Source organism: Homo sapiens, chromosome 1 (assembly GCF_000001405.40).
Source record: "Homo sapiens chromosome 1, GRCh38.p14 Primary Assembly".
NCBI lineage: Eukaryota > Metazoa > Chordata > Mammalia > Primates > Hominidae > Homo > Homo sapiens.
In genome coordinates, this window is record NC_000001.11 from 169242203 (window position 1) to 169265017 (window position 22815).

The 22815-nt window shown below is 37.4% G+C and overlaps 1 protein-coding gene across 3 annotated transcripts in view, besides 2 other annotated features; it reads right to left on the reverse strand.

Moving 5' to 3' along the window:
- NME7 (NME/NM23 family member 7) overlaps positions 1 to 22815 on the reverse strand; it is a 235267-nt gene that overhangs the window by 109672 nt on the left and 102780 nt on the right. The gene's annotated exons all lie outside the window — the stretch shown is intronic.
- Positions 14504 to 15109: an enhancer, noted in NCBI's record as "H3K27ac-H3K4me1 hESC enhancer chr1:169225944-169226549 (GRCh37/hg19 assembly coordinates)". NCBI's record gives its function as "activates a minimal SCP1, AML or CMV promoter by ChIP-STARR-seq in naive H9 embryonic stem cells {active_cell/tissue: H9 hESC(naive)}" and the evidence as "EXISTENCE:reporter gene assay evidence [ECO:0000049][PMID:30033119]".
- Positions 15110 to 15714: an enhancer, noted in NCBI's record as "H3K27ac-H3K4me1 hESC enhancer chr1:169226550-169227154 (GRCh37/hg19 assembly coordinates)". NCBI's record gives its function as "activates a minimal SCP1, AML or CMV promoter by ChIP-STARR-seq in naive H9 embryonic stem cells {active_cell/tissue: H9 hESC(naive)}" and the evidence as "EXISTENCE:reporter gene assay evidence [ECO:0000049][PMID:30033119]".

A 22815-nucleotide genomic window follows, 5' to 3' on the forward strand; every position in this document is an offset into this window, starting at 1 on the left:
GACGTTAATTTCAGATATGCAAGCCTGGTACATTATTCAAACTATCAACCAATATATTAACAGGCTAAGGAAGAAAAATCACATGAACACATCAATATATGTTGATCACATATCTATCTATAGATATATATCTGCATATATTGATACAGAAAAAAACATTTGAAAATATACAGCACTCATAAATCAAAAAAACTGTAAGAAAAAAATAGAAATAGAAGGCAACTTCCCCATCTTCATAAACAGCATCTACAGAAACCTACAACTAACATAATAGTGAAAGACTGAATGCTTTCCATGCAAGACAGTAAACAAGGCAAGAATGTCCATTCTCATTGCTCTGATTCAACATGGTGCTGGAAAATTCAAGTCAGTGCAACCAGACAAGAAAAGGAGATAAAAAGTATACAGACAAGAAAGGCAGAAATATAACTGTCTCTATTTGTATATGACATGACTGTCTATATAGAAAATCCCAAATAGCCTAAAAAAAAATCTAGAACTAATTATTTCAGCAAGGTTGAAAGATACAAGGTAAACATACTAGATCAGTTGTATTTCTACACACTGGCAATAAATACTTGAACACTGAAACTAAAACTATAATAGCATTTATAATCACTCAAAAAGAAAATAAAATTGGGTGTGAATCTAACCAAAAATGTATAGAACTTGTGTATGAAAACTACAAAATGCTGGATGAAAGAGCTAAATAAATGAAGAGCATACAGTGTTCAGGGAATACTTCACACAATAAAGATGTCAATTCTCCCTAAATTGACAAATAAGTTTAACAAAATTGTTATCAAAATACCAGCAAGTTTTTTTTGTAGCAATAGATAAGATTATTCTAAAATTATATGGTAAGATAAAGGAACTAGAATAACTAAAACAATTTCAAAAAAGAAAAATGTGAGGTAATCAGTCTACTCAATTTCATGGTTCATTATTAACTGCAATAACCGAAAGATGGTGTAGTATTGTCAGTGATAGAGATCAATGGAACAGAACAAAAAAATCCCAAAATAGAACCACACAAATATGTCCAACTGATTTTTTACAAAAGTGCAAAAGCAATTCAAATTAGAGAGATAACTTTTCAACAAACTCAGTAAAGTTAGGAAATAAAGTCTCCAAGAAAAAAGAGTTACTTCCCAGAAGGAAGTCTACACAATGAAAGGATAACACAAATTTGGGGAAACAGCTAGTTTTTTCTCATCTATACATGGTGTAAGCTAGTCACATATTATTACACATAATCCTCACAACGCTGCTATGGACTGAATATTTGTGACCCTCTGAAATTAAGATCCTAACTCCCAATGTGATAAAGGTAGGGCCTTTGTGGGGAAGAGGTGATTAGATAGCAAGAACAAAGCCCATGTGAATGGCATTAGTGCCCTTATAAAAGAAGCTCCAGAGAGTTCTCTTGCCTCTTTCACCATGTAAAGGCACAGTGAGAAGGTGTCATCTATGAAGAAAACCATGGGCCCTGACCTGAAACTGAACCTGCAGGACCTGATCTTGGACTTCCCACTATGGAGAACTGTGGGAAATACATGTTTGTTGTTTAAGACATCCAGTCTATGGTATTTATATTGTAGCAGCTCAAATGAACTAAGATAATGCCTATGAGGAAAGTACTAGTATAATCTTCATTTTATAGATGTTGAGTATCTATATTCAAGGATTAAACAATATGCCTTAATAACTAGTAAGTGATAGAACTGAATTTCAAACCCAGTTTTGCTTGCCCCAGAGCCTAAGATTATATTATAATAAAATAAATAATCAAAATATTTAGTTGGCATATGTATGTACCTCAATTAAATAATTTATGTATATGCAAAAATATACATATGTGTATATATGTGTATATACAGCTATGAAACATCTGTTTGATCTTCTGAATATATACTATAAAATCTTTAACAGAGATGGTTATAGAATGTATATGTAGTAAATTCTGAATTGTTCAGAGGATCATCACTTAACTTACTGATTATTCAGACTTTAAGATTTCTTTCCTTCTTACCATTCTGATTCTTATCAATTTGGCAGAAAAAGGAGGAAAAAAAGATCACTTTATTGTTTATTAATAGTTCTAGAAAACTGCTTAATAGAGAGAACATCATTAAAAATTAAGTTGTTGGCCAGGTGCGGTGGCTCACGCCTGTAATCCCAGCACTTTGGGAGGCCAAAGGTGGGAGGATGATGAGATCAGGAGATCGAGACCATCCTGGCTAACACGGTGAAACCTCATCTCTACTAAACAAAATACAAAAAATTAGCTGGGCATGGTGGTGGGTGCCAGTAGTCCCAGCTACTCGGGAGGCTGAGGAAGGAGGATGGCGTGAACCTGGGAGGCGGAGCTTTCAGTGAGCCGAGATTGCACCACTGCACTCCAGCCTGGACCACAGACTGAGACTCCATCTCAAAAAAAAAAAAAAAAAAAATTAAGTTGTTAAAAAGTAGATGCATAGTATTCTTCAAAATTCTAACAAAATTGGTTTTCATAGTTAATAATCTAATAGTTTTATTTTGCCACATGTATCTATATCAAAAATATTTCTTGTGAAAATAACTTATTCTGATGTTAAGGTCTTTCCTGGCATCAATATTTTCCCTTGATATCACAATATCTACCACCTGGGTGCGGTGGCTCATGCCTGTAATCCTAGCACTTTGGGAGGACAAGGTGGGTGGATCACTTGAGGTCCTGAGTTCAAGCCCAGCCTGGCCAACATGGAGAAACCCTATCTCTACTAAAAATACAAAAATTAGCCAGACATAGTGCCACATGCCTGTAATCCCAGCTACCTGGGAGGCTGAGGCACAAGAATCGCTTGAACCCAGGAGGCAGAGCTTACAGTGAGCCAAGATTATGCCACTGTCCTCCAGCCTGGGTGACAGAACAAGATTCTGTCTCAGAACAACAACAACAAAAATAAAACAAATAAACAGAAAATCATAGTATCTATCATCTATAATATACCTCACAGCAATCTTGCAGCCAATGAGCCCCTTACACTGTAGAAACACTTGAAAAATATCGTTACCATGAATGTTAAACTTACTGGATGTAACAGCAAGATACAGATGACAACAAAACCCTACTCACGAGCATGAGAGCCCATGAAAAGGACACTTTGGTGAGCAAAACAACTTACAAAACTGAAATTTAAAGAAGCGACCAGGCTGTTGTACAAGATAATTCACTATCACCTGTATGCTTTGCTTCACAATCCATATAATAAACAGGGGTGGTGGGAAATAAAACGAAACGATTTTTAAAAATGAAAAAATGTCAACAAGGAAATCTTGCAGTTTATTTTGGAAAGAAACTGAAAGAAAAGTTTTAATCGTGATGTAGCCAAGAGTACACGAACTAATAAAACTGGTGCCTAAAATAGACATGTTTAATATTAATAACCATAACCAATTTAAATCAAATTGGAAGGATATGATTTCCTTTAAAATTTAAATCTAGTGAAATAAAATTCAAAGCCATTTTAACTAAAAAATAGACGTGTATCTTTAAAACATGATTAGTGTAAAGACAAATCAAAAAACTAGAGATTATGAGAGTTTAATGTTCAATGCTAACATATAAAAGAAATCACAAGTGTTACTAAAGTCAACAGAAGGAATTTAATACTAATCTTGGCAAACATGCATAACAAATAACCTTAGGCATAAAAACCAGGTGGAAAAGCTTTCTGTCTCCTAGAGAGCAATATGTTACTAGGCAATACCACTTCACTGATAATCTTCCTGTAATTTTTAATGGAAGCACTCAGATTGGTTTAAGCTACAAATGTCTATGGTTTTCTGCCTTGCAATAAGGAAAAATATTGTAGAATTATATTAAATCAATTGCAGACAAGAGTCTGGATTCCAGACCATCCTGGGCAACATGGTAAAACTTCATGTCTACAAAAAATATGAAAAAAAAAATTAGCCAGGTATGATGGTGTGTGCCTGTAGTCCCAGATACTCAGGAGGCTAAGGTGGGAGGATCACTAGGGCTCAGGAGGCCAAGGTTGCAGTGAGCTGAGATGGCACAACTGCAATCCAGCCTGGGTGACAGAGCGAGACCGTGTCTCAAAAAAGTAAAAACAAATCAAAATAAATAAGAGTTTGGATTCCACAGAATTGTTAAATTGGGAACCAGTAAGGCACTTAGGTCTTAATGGATCTCAAATTAATCCATCAGGTGATCATAAAACCCACATTAGTAGAAAGTAGCTTTTAAAAGACAGATTTAATTCATCCAATAGATTTCTGATCCTCCACTAACACCACATACCCAAATCTGAAATTCACATTTTTCCTTACCAATTTCCTAACAAGAACAAGCTGTACATTCCTTACAAGGTAGTAAAAAGAGTAACCAATAGAACTTTATTTTATTTGTATTTTTTTTTAGAGGTGGGGCCTTGCTATGTTACTCAAGCTGGACTTGAACTCCTGGGCTTAAGTGATTCAACTACCTCAGCCTCCCAAGCAGCTAGGACTACAGGCATGTGCCACCATGCCCAGCTAATTATTAAAAATTATTTGTAGAGACAGGGTCTCACTGTTGCCCAGACTGGTATCAAACTCCTGGCCTGAAGTGATCTTCCCACCTGAGCCTCCCAAAGTGCTGGGATTACAGGCATAAGCCACTGCATCTGGTCCAGTATAACAACACCTTTGTAGATATACCTACAATATGGTGACTTTGTGTACTGAAATTCATCAAGATGCAATTAAGTGAGTAGAAAATAATAAAAACAGGCTCCATACCATCATAGGGACAGCAGAGAAGACCTATGGGAATGAAGATTTCCAGGAAAGAGTAGTCAGGGGTTCCTCCTCACTGTGAAGAAAGACAGGCTCAGCATGCAAAGGAAGCTAAGAACAGCTATACCTTGGTTGAAATAAGATCACAGTTTTAAAACAAGGACAGTCTAAGAAAAACAAAATAAAGTACGGTACTGAGTAGATAGGCTGGAAACTGAAAACTGTGTAAGATTGGGTAAATAGGTCATATGAAGTCTAAAGTCAAAGTCAGGTTAATACAGAAAAGTTAACCACACAATCACAAAGTAAAATTAAGTTTCTACAGCACAGGGTACTGCCAGCTATGGATAGAGTGAGCTGCTTCCTAATCTTAAGAGGCCAGTCTCTATGTGGTTGGAGTAAGCAAATGTCCCATTAGAAGCCAAATCCATGTTTCTAGGAGATTTTCATGAATGTTATTATGCAGGGGCTATTCTCATTATATGAAAATCTCAGTTTTTAAAATTTTTTTATTTCAATAGTTTTTGGGGTACAAGTGGTTTTGGTCACACGGATGAATTATATAGTGGTGAAGTCTGAGATTTTAGTGCACCCATCATCCAAGTAGTGTACATTGTACCCAATAAGTAGTTTTTTAATCCCTCACCCCCCTCAACCCTCCCTCTTCTGAGTCGCCAAAGTCCATCATAGAATTCTGTATGCCTTTGCATACCCGTATCTTGGTTCCCACTTATAAGTGAGAACATACGGTTTTTGGTTTTTCCATTCCTGAGTACTTCACTTAGAATAATGGCTTCTAGCTCCATCCAAGTTACTGCAAAACACATTATTTCATTATTTTTATGGCTGAGTAGTATTCCATGGTGTATATATATCACATTTTCTTTATCCACTCATTCGTTAATGGACACTTAGATTGGTTCCATACGTTTGCAACTGTGAATTGTGTTGCAATAAACATATGCGTGCAAGTGTCTTTAATATAATCACTTATTTTCCTTTGGGTAGATACTGAGTAGTGGGATTGCTGAATCAAATGACAGATCTACTTTTAGTTCTTTAAGAAATCTCCATATTGTTTTTTATACAGTTTGTACTAATTTACATTCCTACCAGCAGTGTATAGGTGTTCCCTTTTCACCACATCTATGCCAACATCTATTATTTTTTGACTTTTTAATAATGGCTATTTTTGCAGGAGTAAGGCAGTATCTCATTGTATTTTTAATTTGCATATTCCTGATGATCAGTGATGTTTAGCATTTTTCATATGTTCTTTACCATTCTTATATCCTCTTTTGAGAAATGTCTATTCATGTTATTTGCCCACATTTTGATGGGATTTTTTTTTCTTGTTGATGTACTTGAGTTCATTGTAGATTCTAGATATTAGTCCTTTGCTAGATGTATAGTTTGCAGATATTTTCTCCCACTCTGTGGGTTGTCTATTTATTCTGATAGTTATTTCTTTTAATGTACTGAAGTTTCTTTTATTTAATTAGGTCCTATTTATTTATTTTTATTTTAGTTGCATTTGCTTTTGGGGTCCTACTCACGAATTATTTGCCTAAGCCAATGTCCAGAATAGTTTTTCCTAGGTTATCTTCTATAATTTTTATAGTTTCATGTCTTAGATTTACATCTTTGAACCATCTTGAGATGATTTTTGTATAAGGTAAGGGATAAGCATCCAGTTTCATTCTTCTACATGTGGTTATCCAGTTTTCCCAGCATTATTTATTAAATAAGGTGTCCTTTCCTCAGCCTGTGTTTCTCTATGCTTTGTTGAAGATCAGTTGGTTGTAAGTATTTGGCTTTATTTCTGGGTTCTCTATTCTGTTCCACTGCTCTATGTGCCTACTTTTATACCAGCACTATTTTTGTAACTACAGCCTTGTGGCAAACATCTGATAATGTGATGCCTCTACGTCTGTTTTCTTGTTTGTTTGTTTTTTTGCATAGGATTGCTTTGGCTATTCAGGTTCTTTTTCTGGTTTCATATGAATTTTAGAATTGTTTTTTCTAATTCTGTGAAAAATGATGTTGGTATTTTGATAGGAATTGCACTGAATCAGTGGATTGCTTTGGGTAGTATGGTCATTTTCATGATATTGATTATTCCAATCCATGAGCATGGGATGTGTTTCCATTTGTTTGTGTCATCTATGATTTCTATCAGCAGTGTTTTGTAGTTCTCCTTGTAGAGATCTTTTACCTCCTTGGTTAAATATATTCCTAGGTAATTTATTTTTTTCCAGCTGTTGTGAAAAGGACTGAGTTCTTGATCTGATTCTCAGCATGGTCATTGTTGGTGTATAGCACTGCTACTGATTTGTGTATATTGATTTTGTGACCTGAGACTACGGAATTCATTTGTCAAATCCAGGAGTCTTTTGGAGGAGTATTTAGGGTTTTCTAGGTATACAGTCATATTATTCATGAACAGCAATAGCTTGATGTCCTCTTTTTCAATTTGGATGCCCTTTGTTTCTTATCCTTGCCTGATTGCTCTGGTTAGGACTTCCAGCACTATGCTGAATAGAAGTGGTGAAAGTGGCATCCTTGTCTTGTTCCAGTTCTCAAGGGGAATACTTTCAACTTTTCCCCATTTATTATGATGTTAGCTGTGGGTCTGTCATATATGGCTTTCATTAGTTTTAGGTAAAGTTCCTTTTATATCTGTTTGTTGAGTTTTTTTATACGGGGATGCTGGATTTTATGAAATGCTTTTTCTGCATCTATTCAGATGATCATAGAGTTTTTCTTTTTAATTCCTTTTATCAGATGTATCCCATTTATTGACTTGCATATTTTAAACCATCCCTGCATCCCTGGAATGAAACCTACTTGGTCATGGTGTATTATCTTTTTGATGTGCTGCTTGAATTAGCTAGTATTTTGTTGAGGATTTTTGCATCTATGTTCATCAGGGGTATTGGTCTGTAGTTTTCTTTTTTTCTTATGTCTTTTCCTGGTTGTGGTATCAGAATGATACTGGCTTCATAGAATGAGTTAGGGAGGATCCCTCTTTCTTAATCTTTTGGAATAGTTTCAGTAGGATTGGTCCCAGTTCTCTGAATGTCTGGTAGGATTCAGTTGTGAATCCATGTGGCCCCAAGCTATTTTTTTTTCTTGGCAATTGTTTTGATTAGTGATTCAATCGCACTGCTTGTTCTTGGTCTGTTCGGGGTTTCTATTTCTTCCTGGCTTAATCTAGGAGTGTTTATGTTTCCTGGAATTTATCCATTTCCTCTAGATTTTTTAGTTTGTGTGCATAGAGGTGTTCACAGTGGTCTCAAATGATCTTTTTTATTTCTGTGGGGTTGGTTGTAAAGTCTCCAGTTTCATTTCTAATTGAACTTACTTTAACCTCTCCTGGTTAATCTAGCTAATGGTCTATCAACTTTGTTTATCTTTTTGAAAAACCAACTTTTAGTGTCATTGATCTTTGGTATTTTTGTTGTTGTTGTTGCTGCTGTTTCAAATTCATTTAGATCTGCTCTGATCTTTGTTATTTCTTTTCTTCTGCTAGCTTTGGGTTTAGTTTGTTCTTTCTCTAGCTCCTTGAGGTATGATGTTAGGTTGTCAATTTATCATCTTTCAGATTTTTTAATGTAGGTATTTAGCACTATAAATTTTCCTTTTAGTACTGCTTTTACTATATTCCAGAGATTTTGATAACTTGTGTCAATATTATCATTCCTTTCAAAGAATTTTTAAAATTCCATCTTGATTTCACTGTTAACTCAAAAATCATCCAGGAGCAGATTGTTTAATTTCTATGTATTTGTATAGTTTTGAGGGTTACTTTTGGAGTTGATTTGTAGTTTTATTCCACTGTGGTCTGAGAAGATACCTGATAACATTTCGATTTTTAAAAATTTATAGAGACTTGTTTTGTGGCCTAGCATATGGTCTATTGTGGAGAATGTTCTGTGTGCTGATTAAAAGAATGTACAATCTGCAGTTATTAGGTAGAATGTTCGGCAAATATTTGTCAGGTCCATTTGTTCTAGAGTGCACTTTAGGTCCATTATTTCTTTGTTGACTTTCTGTCTTGATGATCTGTCTAGTGTTGTCGGTGGACTGTTGCAGTCTCATACTATTATTATTTCATGTCTATCTCATGTCTTAGGTCTAATAGTAATTGTTTTATGAATCTGGGAGCTCCAGTGTTAAGTGTATATAAATTTAGGAATATAATATCTTCTTGTTGGATTGATCCTTTTATCATCATATAATGACCTTCTTTGTCTTTTTTTACTGTTGTTGCTTTAAAATCTGTTTTATCTGATATAAGACTACCTACTCCTGCTCACTTTTGGTTTCCATTTGGAGTGGAATATCTTTTTGCACTCCTATACCCTAAGTTTATATGAATCTTTATGTATTAGGTGAGTCTCTTGAAGACAGTATATATTTGGTTTGTGATTTTTAAAATCCATTCTGCCAATCTGTATCATTTAAGTGGAGAATTTAAGCAATTTATATCCAATGTTAATATTGAGATGTGAGGTACTGTTCCAGTTATCCTGTTACTTGTTACCTAGATACTCTGGTTTCTTTTTTTTTTTTTCTTTTTTTTTTTATTATACTTTAAGTTTTAGGGTACATGTGCACATTGTGCAGGTTAGTTACATATGTATACATGTGCCATGCTGGTGCACTGCACCCACTAACTCATCATCTAGCATTAGGTATATCTCCCAATGCTATCCCTCCCCCCTCCCCCCACCCCACAACAGTCCCCAGAGTGTGATATTCCCCTTCCTGTGTCCATGTGATCTCATTGTTCAATTCCCACCTATGAGTGAGAATATGCAGTGTTTGGTTTTTTGTTCTTGCAACAGTTTACTGAGAATGATGTTTTCCAGTTTCATCCATGTCCCTACAAAGGACATGAACTCATCATTTTTTATGGCTGCATAGTATTCCATGGTGTATATGTGCCACATTTTCTTAATCCAGTCTATCATTGTTGGACATTTGGGTTGGTTCCAAGTCTTTGCTATGGTGAATAATGCCGCAATAAACATACGTGTGCATGTGTCTTTATAGCAGCATGATTTATAGTCCTTTGGGTATATACCCAGTAATGGGATGGCTGGGTCAAATGGTATTTCCAGTTCTAGATCCCTGAGGAATCGCCACACTGACTTCCACAATGGTTGAACTAGTTTACAGTCCCACCAACAGTGTAAAAGTGTTCCTATTTCTCCACATCCCCTCCAGCACCTGTTGTTTCCTGACTTTTTAATGATTGCCATTCTAACTGGTGTGAGATGGTATCTCATTGTGGTTTTGATTTGCATTTCTCTGATGGCCAGTGATGATGAGCATTTTTTCATGTGTTTTTTGGCAGCATAAATGTCTCCTTTTGAGAAGTGTCTGTTCATGTCCTTCACCCACTTTTTGATGGGGTTGTTTGTTTTTTTCTTAAAAATTTGTTTGAGTTCATTGTAGATTCTGGATATTAGCCCTTTGTCAGAAGAGTAGGTTGCGAAAATTTTCTCCCATTTTGTAGGTTGCCTGTTCACTCTGATGGTAGTTTCTTTTGCTGTGCAGAAGCTCTTTAGTTTAATTAGATCCCATTTGTCGATTTTGTCTTTTGCTGCCATTGTTTTTGGTGTTTTAGACATGAAGTCGTCGCCTATGCCTATGTCCTGAATGGTAATCCCTAGGTTTTCTTCTAGGGTTTTTATGGTTTTAGGTCTAACGTTTAAGTCTTTAATCCATCTTGAATTGATTTTTGTATAAGGTGTAAGGAAGGGATCCAGTTTCAGCTTTCTACATATGGCTAGCCAGTTTTCCCAGCACCATTTATTAAATAGGGAATCCTTTCCCCATTGCTTGTTTTTCTCAGGTTTGTCAAAGATCAGATAGTTGTAGATATGCGGTGTTATTTCTGAGGGCTCTGTTCTGTTCCATTGATCTATATCTCTGTTTTGGTACCAGTACCATGCTGTTTTGGTTACTGTAGCCTTGTAGTATAGTTTGAAGTCAGGTAGTGTGATGCTTCCAGCTTTGTTCTTTTGGCTTAGGATTGACTTGGCGATGCGGGCTCTTTTTTGGTTCCATATGAACTTTAAAGTAGATTTTTCCAATTCTGTGAAGAAAGGCATTGGTAGCTTGATGGGGATGGCATTGATTCTATAAATTACCTTGGGCAGTATGGCCATTTTCACGATATTGATTCTTCCTACCCATGAGCATGGAATGTTCTTCCATTTGTTTGTATCCTCTTTTATTTCCTTGAGCAGTGGTTTGTAGTTCTCCTTGAAGAGGTCCTTCACATCCCTTGTAAGTTGGATTCCTAGGTATTTTATTCTCTTTGAAGCAATTGTGAATGGGAGTTCACTCATGATTTGGCTCTCTGTTTGTCTGTTATTGGTGTATAAGAATGCTTGTGATTTTTGCACATTGATTTTGTATCCTGAGACTTTGCTGAAGTTGCTTATCAGCTTAAGGAGATTTTGGGCTGAGACAATGGGGTTTTCTAGATATACAATCATGTCGCCTGCAAACAGGGACAATTTGACTTCCTCTTTTCCTAATTGAATACCCTTTATTTCCTTCTCCTGCCTAATTGCCCGGGCCAGAATTTCAAACACTATGTTGAATAGGAGTGGTGAGAGAGGGCATCCCTGTCTTGTGCCAGTTTTCAAACGGAATGCTTCTAGTTTTTGCCCATTCAGTATGATACTGGCTGTGGGTTTGTCATAGATAGCTCTTATTATTTTGAAATACGTCCCATCAATACCTAATTTATTGAGAGTTTTTAGCATAAAGGGTTGTTGAATTTTGTCAAAGGCTTTTTCTGCATCTATTGAGATAATCATGTGGTTTTTGTCTTTGGCTCTGTTTATATGCTGGATTACATTTATTGATTTGTGTATATTGAACCAGCCTTGCATCCCAGGGATGAAGCCCACTTGATCATGGTGGATAAGCTTTTTGATGTGCTGCTGGATTCCTTTTGCCAGTATTTTATTGAGGATTTTTGCATCAATGTTCATCAACGATATTGGTCTAAAATTCTCTTTTTTGGTTGTGTCTCTGCCTGGCTTTGGTATCAGAATGATGCTGGCCTCATAAAATGAGTTAGGGAGGATTCCCTCTTTTTCTATTGATTGGAATAGTTTCAGAAGGAATGGTACCAGTTCCTCCTTGTACCTCTGGTAGAATTCAGCTGTGAATCCATCTGGTCCTGGACTCTTTTTGGTTGGTAAGCTATTGATTCTTGCCACAATTTCAGATCCTGTTATTGTTCTATTCAGAGATTCAACTTCTTCCTGGTTTAGTCTTGGGAGAGTGTATGTGTCGAGGAATTTATCCATTTCTTCTCGATTTTCTAGTTTATTTGCGTAGAGGTGTTTGTAGTATTCTCTGATGGTAGTTTGTATTTCTGTGGGATTGGTGGTGATATCCCCTTTATCAGTTTTTATTGCGTCTATTAGATTCTTCTCTCTTTTTTTCTTTATTAGTCTTGCTAGTGGTCTATCAATTTTGTTGATCCTTTCAAAAAACCAGCTCCTGGATTCATTAATTTTTTGAAGGGTTTTTTGTATCTCTATTTCCTTCAGTTCTGCTCTGATTTTAGTTATTTCTTGCCTTCTGCTAGCTTTTGAATGTGTTTGCTCTTGCTTTTCTAGTTCTTTTAATTGTGATGTTAGGGTGTCAATTTTGGATCTTTCCTGCTTTCTCTTGTGGCCATTTAGTGCTATAAATTTCCCTCTACACACTGCTTCGAATGTGTCCCAGAGATTCTGGTATGTTGTGTCTTTGTTCTCGTTGGTTTCAAAGAACATCTTTATTTCTGCCTTCATTTCGCTATGTACCCAGTAGTCATTCAGGAGCAGGTTGTTCAGTTTCCATGTAGTTGAGCGGTTTTGAGTGAGATTCTTAATCCTGAGTTCTAGTTTGATTGCACTGTGGTGTGAGAGATAGTTTGTTATAATTTCTGTTCTTTTACATTTGCTGAGGAGAGCTTTACTTCCAACTATGCGGTCAATTTTGGAATAGGTGTGGTGTGGTGCTGAAAAAAATGTATATTCTGTTGATTTGGGGTGGAGAGTTCTGTAGATGTCTATTAGGTCCGCTTGGTGCAGAGCTAAGTTCAATTCCTGGGTATCCTTGTTGACTTTCTGTCTCGTTGATCTGTCTAATGTTGACAGTGGGGTGTTAAAGTCTCCCATTATTATTGTGTGGGAGTCTAAGTCTCTTTGTAGGTCACTCAGGACTTGCTTTATGAATCTGGGTGCTCCTGTATTGGGTGCAATATATTTAGGATAGTTAGCTCTTCTTGTTGAATTGATCCCTTTACCATTATGTAATGGCCTTCTTTGTCTCTTTTGATCTTTGTTGGTTTAAAGTCTGTTTTATCAGAGACTAGGATTGCAACCCCTGCCTTTTTTTGTTTTCCATTTGCTTGGTAGATCTTCCTCCATCCTTTTATTTTGAGCCTATGTGTGTCTCTGCACGTGAGATGGGTTTCCTGAATACAGCACACTGATGGGTCTTGACTCTTTATCCAATTTGCCAGTCTGTGTCTTTTAATTGCAGAATTTAGTCCATTTACATTTAAAGTTAATATTGTTATGTGTGAATTTGATCCTGTCATTATGATGTTAGCTGGTTATTTTGCTCGTTAGTTGATGCAGTTTCTTCCTAGTCTTGATGGTCTTTACATTTTGGCATGATTTTGCAGCGGCTGGTACCGGTTGCTCCTTTCCATGTTTAGCGCTTCCTTCAGGAGCTCTTTTAGGGCAGGCCTGGTGGTGACAAAATCTCTCAGCATTTGCTTGTCTGTAAAGTATTTTATTTCTCCTTCGCTTATGAAGCTTAGTTTGGCTGGATATGAAATTCTGGGTTGAAAATTCTTTTCTTTAAGAATGGTGAATATTGGCCCCCACTCTCTTCTGGCTTGTAGGGTTTCTGCCGAGAGATCCACTGTTAGTCTGATGGGCTTTCCTTTGAGGGTAACCCGACCTTTCTCTCTGGCTGCCCTTAACATTTTTACCTTCATTTCAACTTTGGTGAATCTGACCATTATGTGTCTTGGAGTTGCTCTTCTCGAGGAGTATCTTTGTGGCATTCTCTGTATTTCCTGAATCTGAATGTTGGCCTGCCTTGCTAGATTGGGGAAGTTCTCCTGGATAATATCCTACAGAGTGTTTTCCAACTTGGTTCCATTCTCCCCATCACTTTCAGGTACACCAATCAGACGTAGATTTGGTCTTTTCACATAGTCCCATATTTCTTGGAGGCTTTACTCATTTCTTTGTATTCTTTTTTCTCTAAACTTTCCTTCTCGCTTCATTTCATTCATTTCATCTTCCATCACTGAAACCCTTTCTTCCAGTTGATCGCATCGACTCCTGAGGCTTCTGCGTTCTTCACGTAGTTCTCGAGCCTTGGTTTTCAGCTCCATCAGCTCCTTTAAGCACTTCTCTGTATTGGTTATTCTAGTTATACATTCTTCTAAATCTTTTTCAAAGTTTTCAACTTCTTTGCCTTTGGTTTGAATGCCCTCCAGTAGCTCAGAGTAATTTGATCGTCTGAAGCCTTCTTCTCTCAGCTCGTCAAAGTCATTCTCCATCCAGCTTTGTTCCGTTGCCGGTGAGGAACTGCGTTCCTTTGGAGGAGGAGAGGCGCTCTGCTTTTTAGAGTTTCCAGTTTTTCTGTTCTGTTTTTTCCCCATCTTTGTGGTTTTATCTACTTTTGGTCTTTGATGATGGTGATGTACAGATGGGTTTTTGGTGTGGATGTCCTTTCTGTTTGTTAGTTTTCCTTCTAACAGACAGGACCCTCAGCTGCAGGTCTGTTGGAATACCCTGCCGTGTGAGGTGTCAGTGTGCTCTTGCTGGGGGGTGCCTCCCAGTTAGGCTGCTTGGGGGTCAGGGGTCAGGGACCCACTTGAGGAGGCAGTCTGCCCATTCTCAGATCTCCAGCTGCATGCTGGGAGAACCACTGCTCTCTTCAAAGCTGTCAGACAGCGACATTTAAGTCTGCAGAGGTTACTGCTGTCTTTTTGTTTGTCTGTGCCCTGCCCCCAGAGGTGGAGCCTACAGAGGCAGGCAGGCCTCCTTGAGCTGTGGTGGGCTCCGCCCAGGTGGAGCTTCCTGGCTGCTTTGTTTACCTAATCAAGCCTGAGCAATGGCGGGCGCCCCTCCCCCAGCCTCGCTGCCACCTTGCAGTTTGATCTCAGACTGCTGTGCTGGCAATCGGCGAGACTCCGTGGGCATAGGACCCTCCAAGCCAGGTGCGGGATATAATCTCGTGGTGCGCCATTTTTTAAGCCTGTCAGAAAAGCGCAGTATTTGGTTGGGAGTGACCCGATTTTCCAGGTGCTGTCCGGCATCCCTTTCTTTGACTCAGAAAGGGAACTCCCTGACCCCTTGCGCTTCCCAAGTGAGGCAATGCCTCGCCCTGCTTCGGCTTGCGAACGGTACGCGCACCCACTGACCTGCGCCCACTGTCTGGCACTCCCTAGTGAGATGAACCCAGTACCTCAGATGTAAATGCAGAAATCACCCGTCTTCTGCGTCGCTCACGCTGGGAGCTGTAGACCGGAGCTGTTCCTATTCGGCCATCTTGGCTCCTCCCCCTCTGGTTTCTTTATTGTTATTGTTTTATAGGCCCCATTAGTTTTATGCTTTCAAGAGGTTCTATTCTGGTTCATAATTGCCTTTTTCTTTTAAAGTTTAAAACTCCTTTTAGCATTTTCAATAGAGCTGGTCTAGTAGTAACAAATTCTCTCAGCATTTGTTTGTCTGAAAATGACTTTAATTCTCCTTCATTTACAAAACTTAGTTTTGTTCTGGATACAAAATTCTTGACTGACAGTTATTCTCTTTAAGAAGGCTAAAGATAAAACTCCAATCCCTTCTGGCTTAAAAGGTTTCTGCTGAGGAAATCTCTTAGTTTTTCAAGCAAACACAATGAAAGAAGACTGAAATGATAATTCAAGACCATGGATCCATTAACTTTAACATGAACAACACAAAGTAAATAAATGTTGTTCCTTACCTATAATTAGTTTGAGTGTTTGTTTCTATTTTAAAAAGACATAGGCCTGGCACAGTGGCTCATACCTATAATTCCAACACTTTGAGGGGCCAAGTCAGGAGGACTCCTTGAGTCCAGGAGTTTGTGGCCAGCCTGGGAACCATAGTGAGACCCTGTCTCTACAAAAAATAAGAAATTAGCTAGGTGTTGTGGCACGTGTCTGTAGTGCCAGCTGCTCTGCTTGGGAGGCTGAGGTGGAAGGATCACTTGACTGCAGGAGGTTGTGGTTGAGGTTCCAGTGAGCTATGATCAGGTCACTGCACTCAGCCTGGATGACAGAGTAAGACCTTGTCTCAAAAAAAATAAAATAAAATAAAATAAAACATATATATATATATATATATATATATATATACACACACACACACACACATACACACACACATATATCTTCTCATTCTCAAAGTTAGCCTTTGCACAACATTTTTTTTAATAAACAGGTACGTTGATTTTTACTTATTCTAACTTTCCAAAGTCACAGTTAAGGAAATTCACAAATTTAGACATCTTATTATAAGAACACTGTTTCTTTTGTTTGTTTTAAATGGCTCTGATTCCCTCAGCACTGGCAAGGCTTATATTGCCATTCATAGATAGACTTAAAAATAGACTAATACCACAACACGGATCACAAGGTATATAATTCTTGCTCCTTTTCTGTTGTAAGCATATACTATATACACTGAATATGGGCCTCCATTTTCTTCTGTTATTCCCCAGCATGGTTCTATAGATAGGTACAGCTTTGCTATCTGGTGATTCTCAAAGTGTGGTCCATGCAAAAATATCTTTAGCATGACCTGGGAACTTATTACAAATGCAGATTCTTGGGCTCTAAACCAGATATTCCAAATCAGATACTTTGGAGTCAGGGCCCAGGAATCTATATTTAATCCAAGTGATCCTGATGCACACTAACGTTTCAGAACCATTACTGCGAGTAAGGTCTCTGAGAACAACAAAGCATCACAACTACTCCTTTGGCCATGGAAAAGGTGATATAGCTGAAAATTTTTATATTTTAAATTGTAAAATATTGAATACATTTTACATTGTAAAATATAAAATATACTTTTATGGTAAAATATATAACAGATATGCTCAGATTAAATAATTTTAAAGTGAACATCTACAGTTATCATCACCCACATCAAAAGCCCACCCTCGAAGCCCTCTATATATGCCTCCCAATCATGACCCTTTCTTCTCTTAGGGGAGACACCTACCTGACTTTGGAATAAACTTTTCTTTATAGTTTACCACCTACATATGAATTCTTGAAATATGTGGTTGATTTTTGCCTATATTTGAACTTTTTGTGATTAGAGTAATACAGCATATATGCTTCATGTCTTTCTTATTTTGCTCAAGTTCATTACTATGAAATTCATTCATTTTGTTGTGTTTCCTTCTATTTGAAAGGGAAGGAAGAAAATGCAACAATGTAAACAGTTAGAATCTCTGGATGGTAGGAGTAAGTGATTTTTAAAATAGACATTTGTCTGTATTTCTAAATTTTTCTACTAAGATGAATTCCTGAGTAAAACTTAGCATTTCCCACCTCTGTATCAAATAATTTGAGGTGCATGTTTTGAATCACATTAACAGATTAAATAAAAATCTATGATGCAAAGCCAAACCTTGTTTCATTTATTAAACTTTCATTTCATATATGAAACTTCATATTCTGATTCAGCCCAATACTTAAATAAGATTTGGCTTAAAGATTTTCTGACCTCAAATTCAGGATATTCTGAAGAATAACTTTTAAAAACGGAGAAGAAAGTCTGTGGCACAGACCTGTAACCACAATTTCAAGAGTCATTTTTAAGCACACTAGAGTCACTTTAGTTCCTTCCAATCTGCTTAAATTGAAATCCTTAATATTATCCTAGAAGACTACCCTCCCTTTGATAACAAGGCTGTTCTTCAATAACCACCATGAAACTGCTCTGGTGAAATAACTGGGATGAGTAACTCACTTCCTATTTTGCACACATAGAAGTCACAGTACGTATGCTAAGTGTTAAAAGAGACATAGTAGATGTAAGTTGGTGATAGGTTAGAAAAGAACTAATAACTAAAATAAGTTAGAACTTTGAACCATAGGTTTTCTAGAGTAAGTAAGATGTGTGAATATATAGAAAAGCAAAGAAGGGTACCATTTATTAATCCATTCAAAAATCAATTACACTGACCATGTCCCTTCAATATTTTTCATGTCAACTCCTCCCATGTTTTAACTTATTATTTGGAAACCCAAGCTTTTCATAGACTTTTCTGAAAGATACTACCTTTTCTTTAGAAATCGTCCCTCTTTCTTCCTCCTAAGAATCAATTATAATTATCTTGCCAGAATGTCAGCATTTATAATCTGCCATGTAACTTGAATCATTTTTTCAAGTCTTATAAAATGAGATCATGCTACTTTGGGTTTTCATGTTTTAAAACATATCTTGATAAAGTAACATCATGTGTTCTGAATCCTGGATCACAGATTCATAAAGATTAGCCCAGCTCTTGGGTAGAAGAAAAAAAAAAAAGCCTGAAAAGCAGAACCACAGCATGGTAGGAGGAAACTCTTGTCTTCCTTTTGTCATTGTGCAATTACGCAGATGTTTAATCTGCAGAGGAAAGGGTTAGGAGGATACATAGAAAACCAGTACTAGAGGATCCTCCAAAGCAGAGGAGTGGGCACATTCTATCTTTGCTACAAACTCTTTTTTAAGATATGTTTTCCTCAGGTCTAAATCATGTGTAGCTATGCTCAGCATTAGTTACCATGAGTTCTAAAATGGCATGGTCCTCTAACAGACAAGTGAATGAAAAACAGGCAAGAGGAGTGGCACTGTCATCAAAATTCTGCATAAAGCTTACATTAATGTTGTTCTTCCTAGAAGTATCTGTGCATACATAGAACCTACTGGGTCAACAAATGAATATTCCAAAGGCATGTGTGTCAGGTTGCCTCAATAACATCATTCCCTGAATCACCGTGACTCTGAATCTTAAAATAGAAAAAAAAAAGTGAAAAACAGGAATTATCTAAATTTCTTTTATAAATGTTTACTGAAACAAAACACTGAAATTAAATATTATTCAAAATAAAAAACTGAAAAGGTATAAAGAAACTTAGATAATTAAGCTTATAAGTGATATTTATTGTTTGTGGTATTTATAGTTCTGAAGTTATTAAAGCTTAAAACTGTGCTATGACTTTTGAGAAAACCCCATGTTACATTTTTGCCAGTGCTATTTCTTTCCATGAAACTGGGTTTCATTCCAATCTCACTAGAGAAAGATCAATCTAAGCACTGTCTAGCAACAGATCAAGATTTACCGTTATTTTCATTAAACAACTGCTATAAAGAAGTAAACGTGCATTAGAGAAGCTACTTGTGTAAAGCAGAGTGTCCCAACTACTCACATTTTCCATTACTCCAAAAAATTCTCACCAACCTAAAATCCAGCACAGGGATCTGAGTTATAAGAACAGCTGAAAATCAAAAGGTGACTCTTCCCTAACCATCTCCTTGGTTGCTATTGACCTGCCATAGTGAACAAACTAGGAATCTTCAATCATGTATCAACTTTTATAAGGCTTGACTCTGATGATGGCAGATTACTAAAGGAAATGCAAGATGGTCCCTGCCCAGAATTTCTCATAAGTGGCTCTTGTACTGGGTGTTTATCAGGAAAACCCAGGGATTCTTTTAAAAATGCATATTCTTGGGCTCTACTCCAGATATACTGAAAAAAGATTCTAAAATTAGGGTCCATGAATAATAATTTTAAACAGTCTCCCCAAGTGGTTCTGTTGCACACTAAAGTTTGAGAAGCACTATCTAGCATCTTAGTGTCACAATACTACTGGTTCAGGTTCTAGTCTCACGTCCCAACCACATGAAGGACTTAAGATGCCTTATACCACTTGAGGTAGAATGATACATTGGTGGTCCAGTGAACCATAATTCCTGGTATTCATGTGCTTGTAGAGTCTCCTCCTATACTGACTCTGGACCTGGCCATGTGACTTTCCTTAGCTGTGATGCAAACAGAGACATGATGAGCAATTTCCATTGAGGATTATCTTGGAATGTTACTCTTAGAAGCCAGAAACCATCCGGTAAAGAAGCTCAGGCTATACTACTGAATGATGAGAGGCCACATGGAAAGAGTCTTTTGAGAATGAGATTCAGTCTTGTACACTCCAGCTCCAGTACAGCTCCCAGATGAATGAAGCCACATGAATAACTCAAGCAAGGCATAGCACAGAAGAATCATCAATTGATAACCCACAGAATTGTGAAAAATAATACATCATTTTTCCCTTTTTCTTTTTAGCCTCTATTTCTTAATGATGAGATAAATCATTGTTTTTAAGAAACTAAGTTTTTGGATATCTGGGGGCAGGGCTAAGATGGTAGACTGGAAGTAGTTCATGTGTGCCACTCCCAGGGGGAGAAAACAAAAGTGCTAGTGAACACGGGTTCTGCAGGCTGATCATCTGAGAAACCATGATGAGATACATCAAGGCAGCAGGGGAACACAGAGAACAAAGAGGGGCAAAGCTGGGCACCAGTCTGTCGGGGCTCAGTGCAGAGCCAGGAAAACCTCTTCAACACGGGAAAGGGTGAGTGAGTGACAGCCCCCAGGGGGACTCACCCTTACCACATGGACCCATGCAAGACTGAGAAGGAGAGAATCAACCTGGCTTCCCCACAATTCCCCAACATACTTCTAGATTGAGGCAGTGAGCCACTCAGATGTTTTGCAGAGGCAACTCCCATGTCCCCCCAGGAAGCACACAGATAGTAGATTAGGGCAACTTGGCTAGGATAGGGCTTGTCACTCAACTGCAGCCCCAGTCTGAGGGAGCCCCTTGGACCAGAATAACCAACAAAAGAAATGCAGACACAAAGGCAGTAATAACTGGGGCCTCCTGCAAGACCCAGGAGCAGACTAGAATTGAAGCCAGACAACCAAACCCACCTTATACCACAATCAAACCCCCAAGGGCATCAAATAAAAAAAAAGCAAAACAATCCATCCAGAAGACATCAACTTCAAAAACTGGAGGAATATCAGCCCACACAAATGAGAAAGAACCAGTACAAGAACTCTTACAATGGAAAAAGCTGAAGTGCCTTCTTTCTTCCAAACAACCACACTAGTTCTCCAGTTAAGGGTTATTAACTGGGTTGAGATGGCTGAAATGACAGAAACAGAATTCAGAATGTGGATAGGAATGAAGATCATCAAGATTCAGAAGAATGTTGAAACCCAATCCAAGGAAGCTAAGAATCACAATAAAACAATACAGGAGATGAAAGTCAAAATAGCTCATATAGAAAATAATACAACCAATCTGATAGAGCTGAAAAACACACTACAAGAATTTCATAATGCAACCACAAATATTAACAGCAGAATAGAACAAGTGGAGAAAAGAATCTCAGAGATTGAAGACTGGCTTTCTGAAATAATACAGTCAGACAGGAAGAAAACAGAACAAAAAGGAATGAATAAAACCTCTGAGAAATATGGAATTATGTAAAAGACCAAATCTATGACTCTCTGGCATACCTGAAAGAAATGGGAAGAAAGAAAACAAGTTGAAAAACATATTTCAGGATATCATCCATGAGAATTTCCTCAACCTAGCTAGAGAGTCCAACACTCAAATTCAGGAAATGTGGAGAACCACCACAAGATACTTCAAGATCACCCCCAAGACACATAATCATCAAATTTTCCAAGTTCAAAATGAAAGAAAAAATGTTAAAAGCAGCTAGAGAGAAAGGACAGGTCACCTAAAAAGAGAAGCCCATCAGAATAATAGTGTACCTATCAGCAGAAACCCTACAAGCCAGAAGAGACTGAGGGCCTATATGCAACATTCTTTAAGAAAAGGAATTCCAACCAAAAATTTCATATCCAGTCAAACTAAGCTTCAAAAGCAAAGGAAAAATAAGATCCTTTCAGACAAGAAAATGCTGAGGGAATTCATTAATGCTAGACCTGCCTTATAAGAGCTCCTGAGAGAAGCACTAGATATGGAAAGGGAAGACCATTACCAGCCACTACAAAACACACTTAAGTACACAGACAAGTGATACTATGAAGCAACCACACAAAGAAGTCTGCATAATTACCAGCTAAGAACATAATGACAGGATCAAATTCACACATATCAATACTAACCTTGAATATAAATGGGCTAAATGCCCCAATTAAAAGGCACAGAGTAGCAAGTTGGATAAAGATGCAAGATACATGGTATGCTGTCTTCAGGTAACCCATCTCACATGCAATGGCACCCACAGGCTCAAAACAGAAATAGAGACAAATCTACCAAACAAACGGAAAACAGAAAAAAGCAGGAGTTGCAAGCCTAATTTCAGACCAAACAATCTTTAAGCCAAATAGATTTTTAAAAGCCAGAGAATGACATTACATAATGGTAAAGGGTCCAATTCAACAATTCTTAAATCCTAAAAATTTAGGATTCAACTATCCTAAATCTATAGGCACCCAATACAGGTGCACCCAGATTCAAAAAACAAGTTCTTAGAGACCTATGAAGAGACTTAGATTCATACACAATAATAGTGGGAGACATCAACACCCTACTGACAGTAATAGATCATTGAGGCAGAAAATTAATAGTATCAGGATCTGAACTAAACTCTTGACCAAATGGATCTAATAGACATCTACAGAACTCATCACCCTAAGAAGACAGAATATATATTCTTTTCATTATCACATGTATTAGTCCGTACTCATGCTGCTAATAAAGACATATCTGAGACCGGGTAATTTATAAAGGAAAGAAGTTTAATTGACTCACAGTTCAGCATGGCTAGGGAGGCCTCAGGAAACTTACAATCATGGCAGAAGGGGAAGCAAACATGTCCTTCACATGGCGGCAACAAAGAGAAGTGCAGAGTAAAAGAGGGAAAA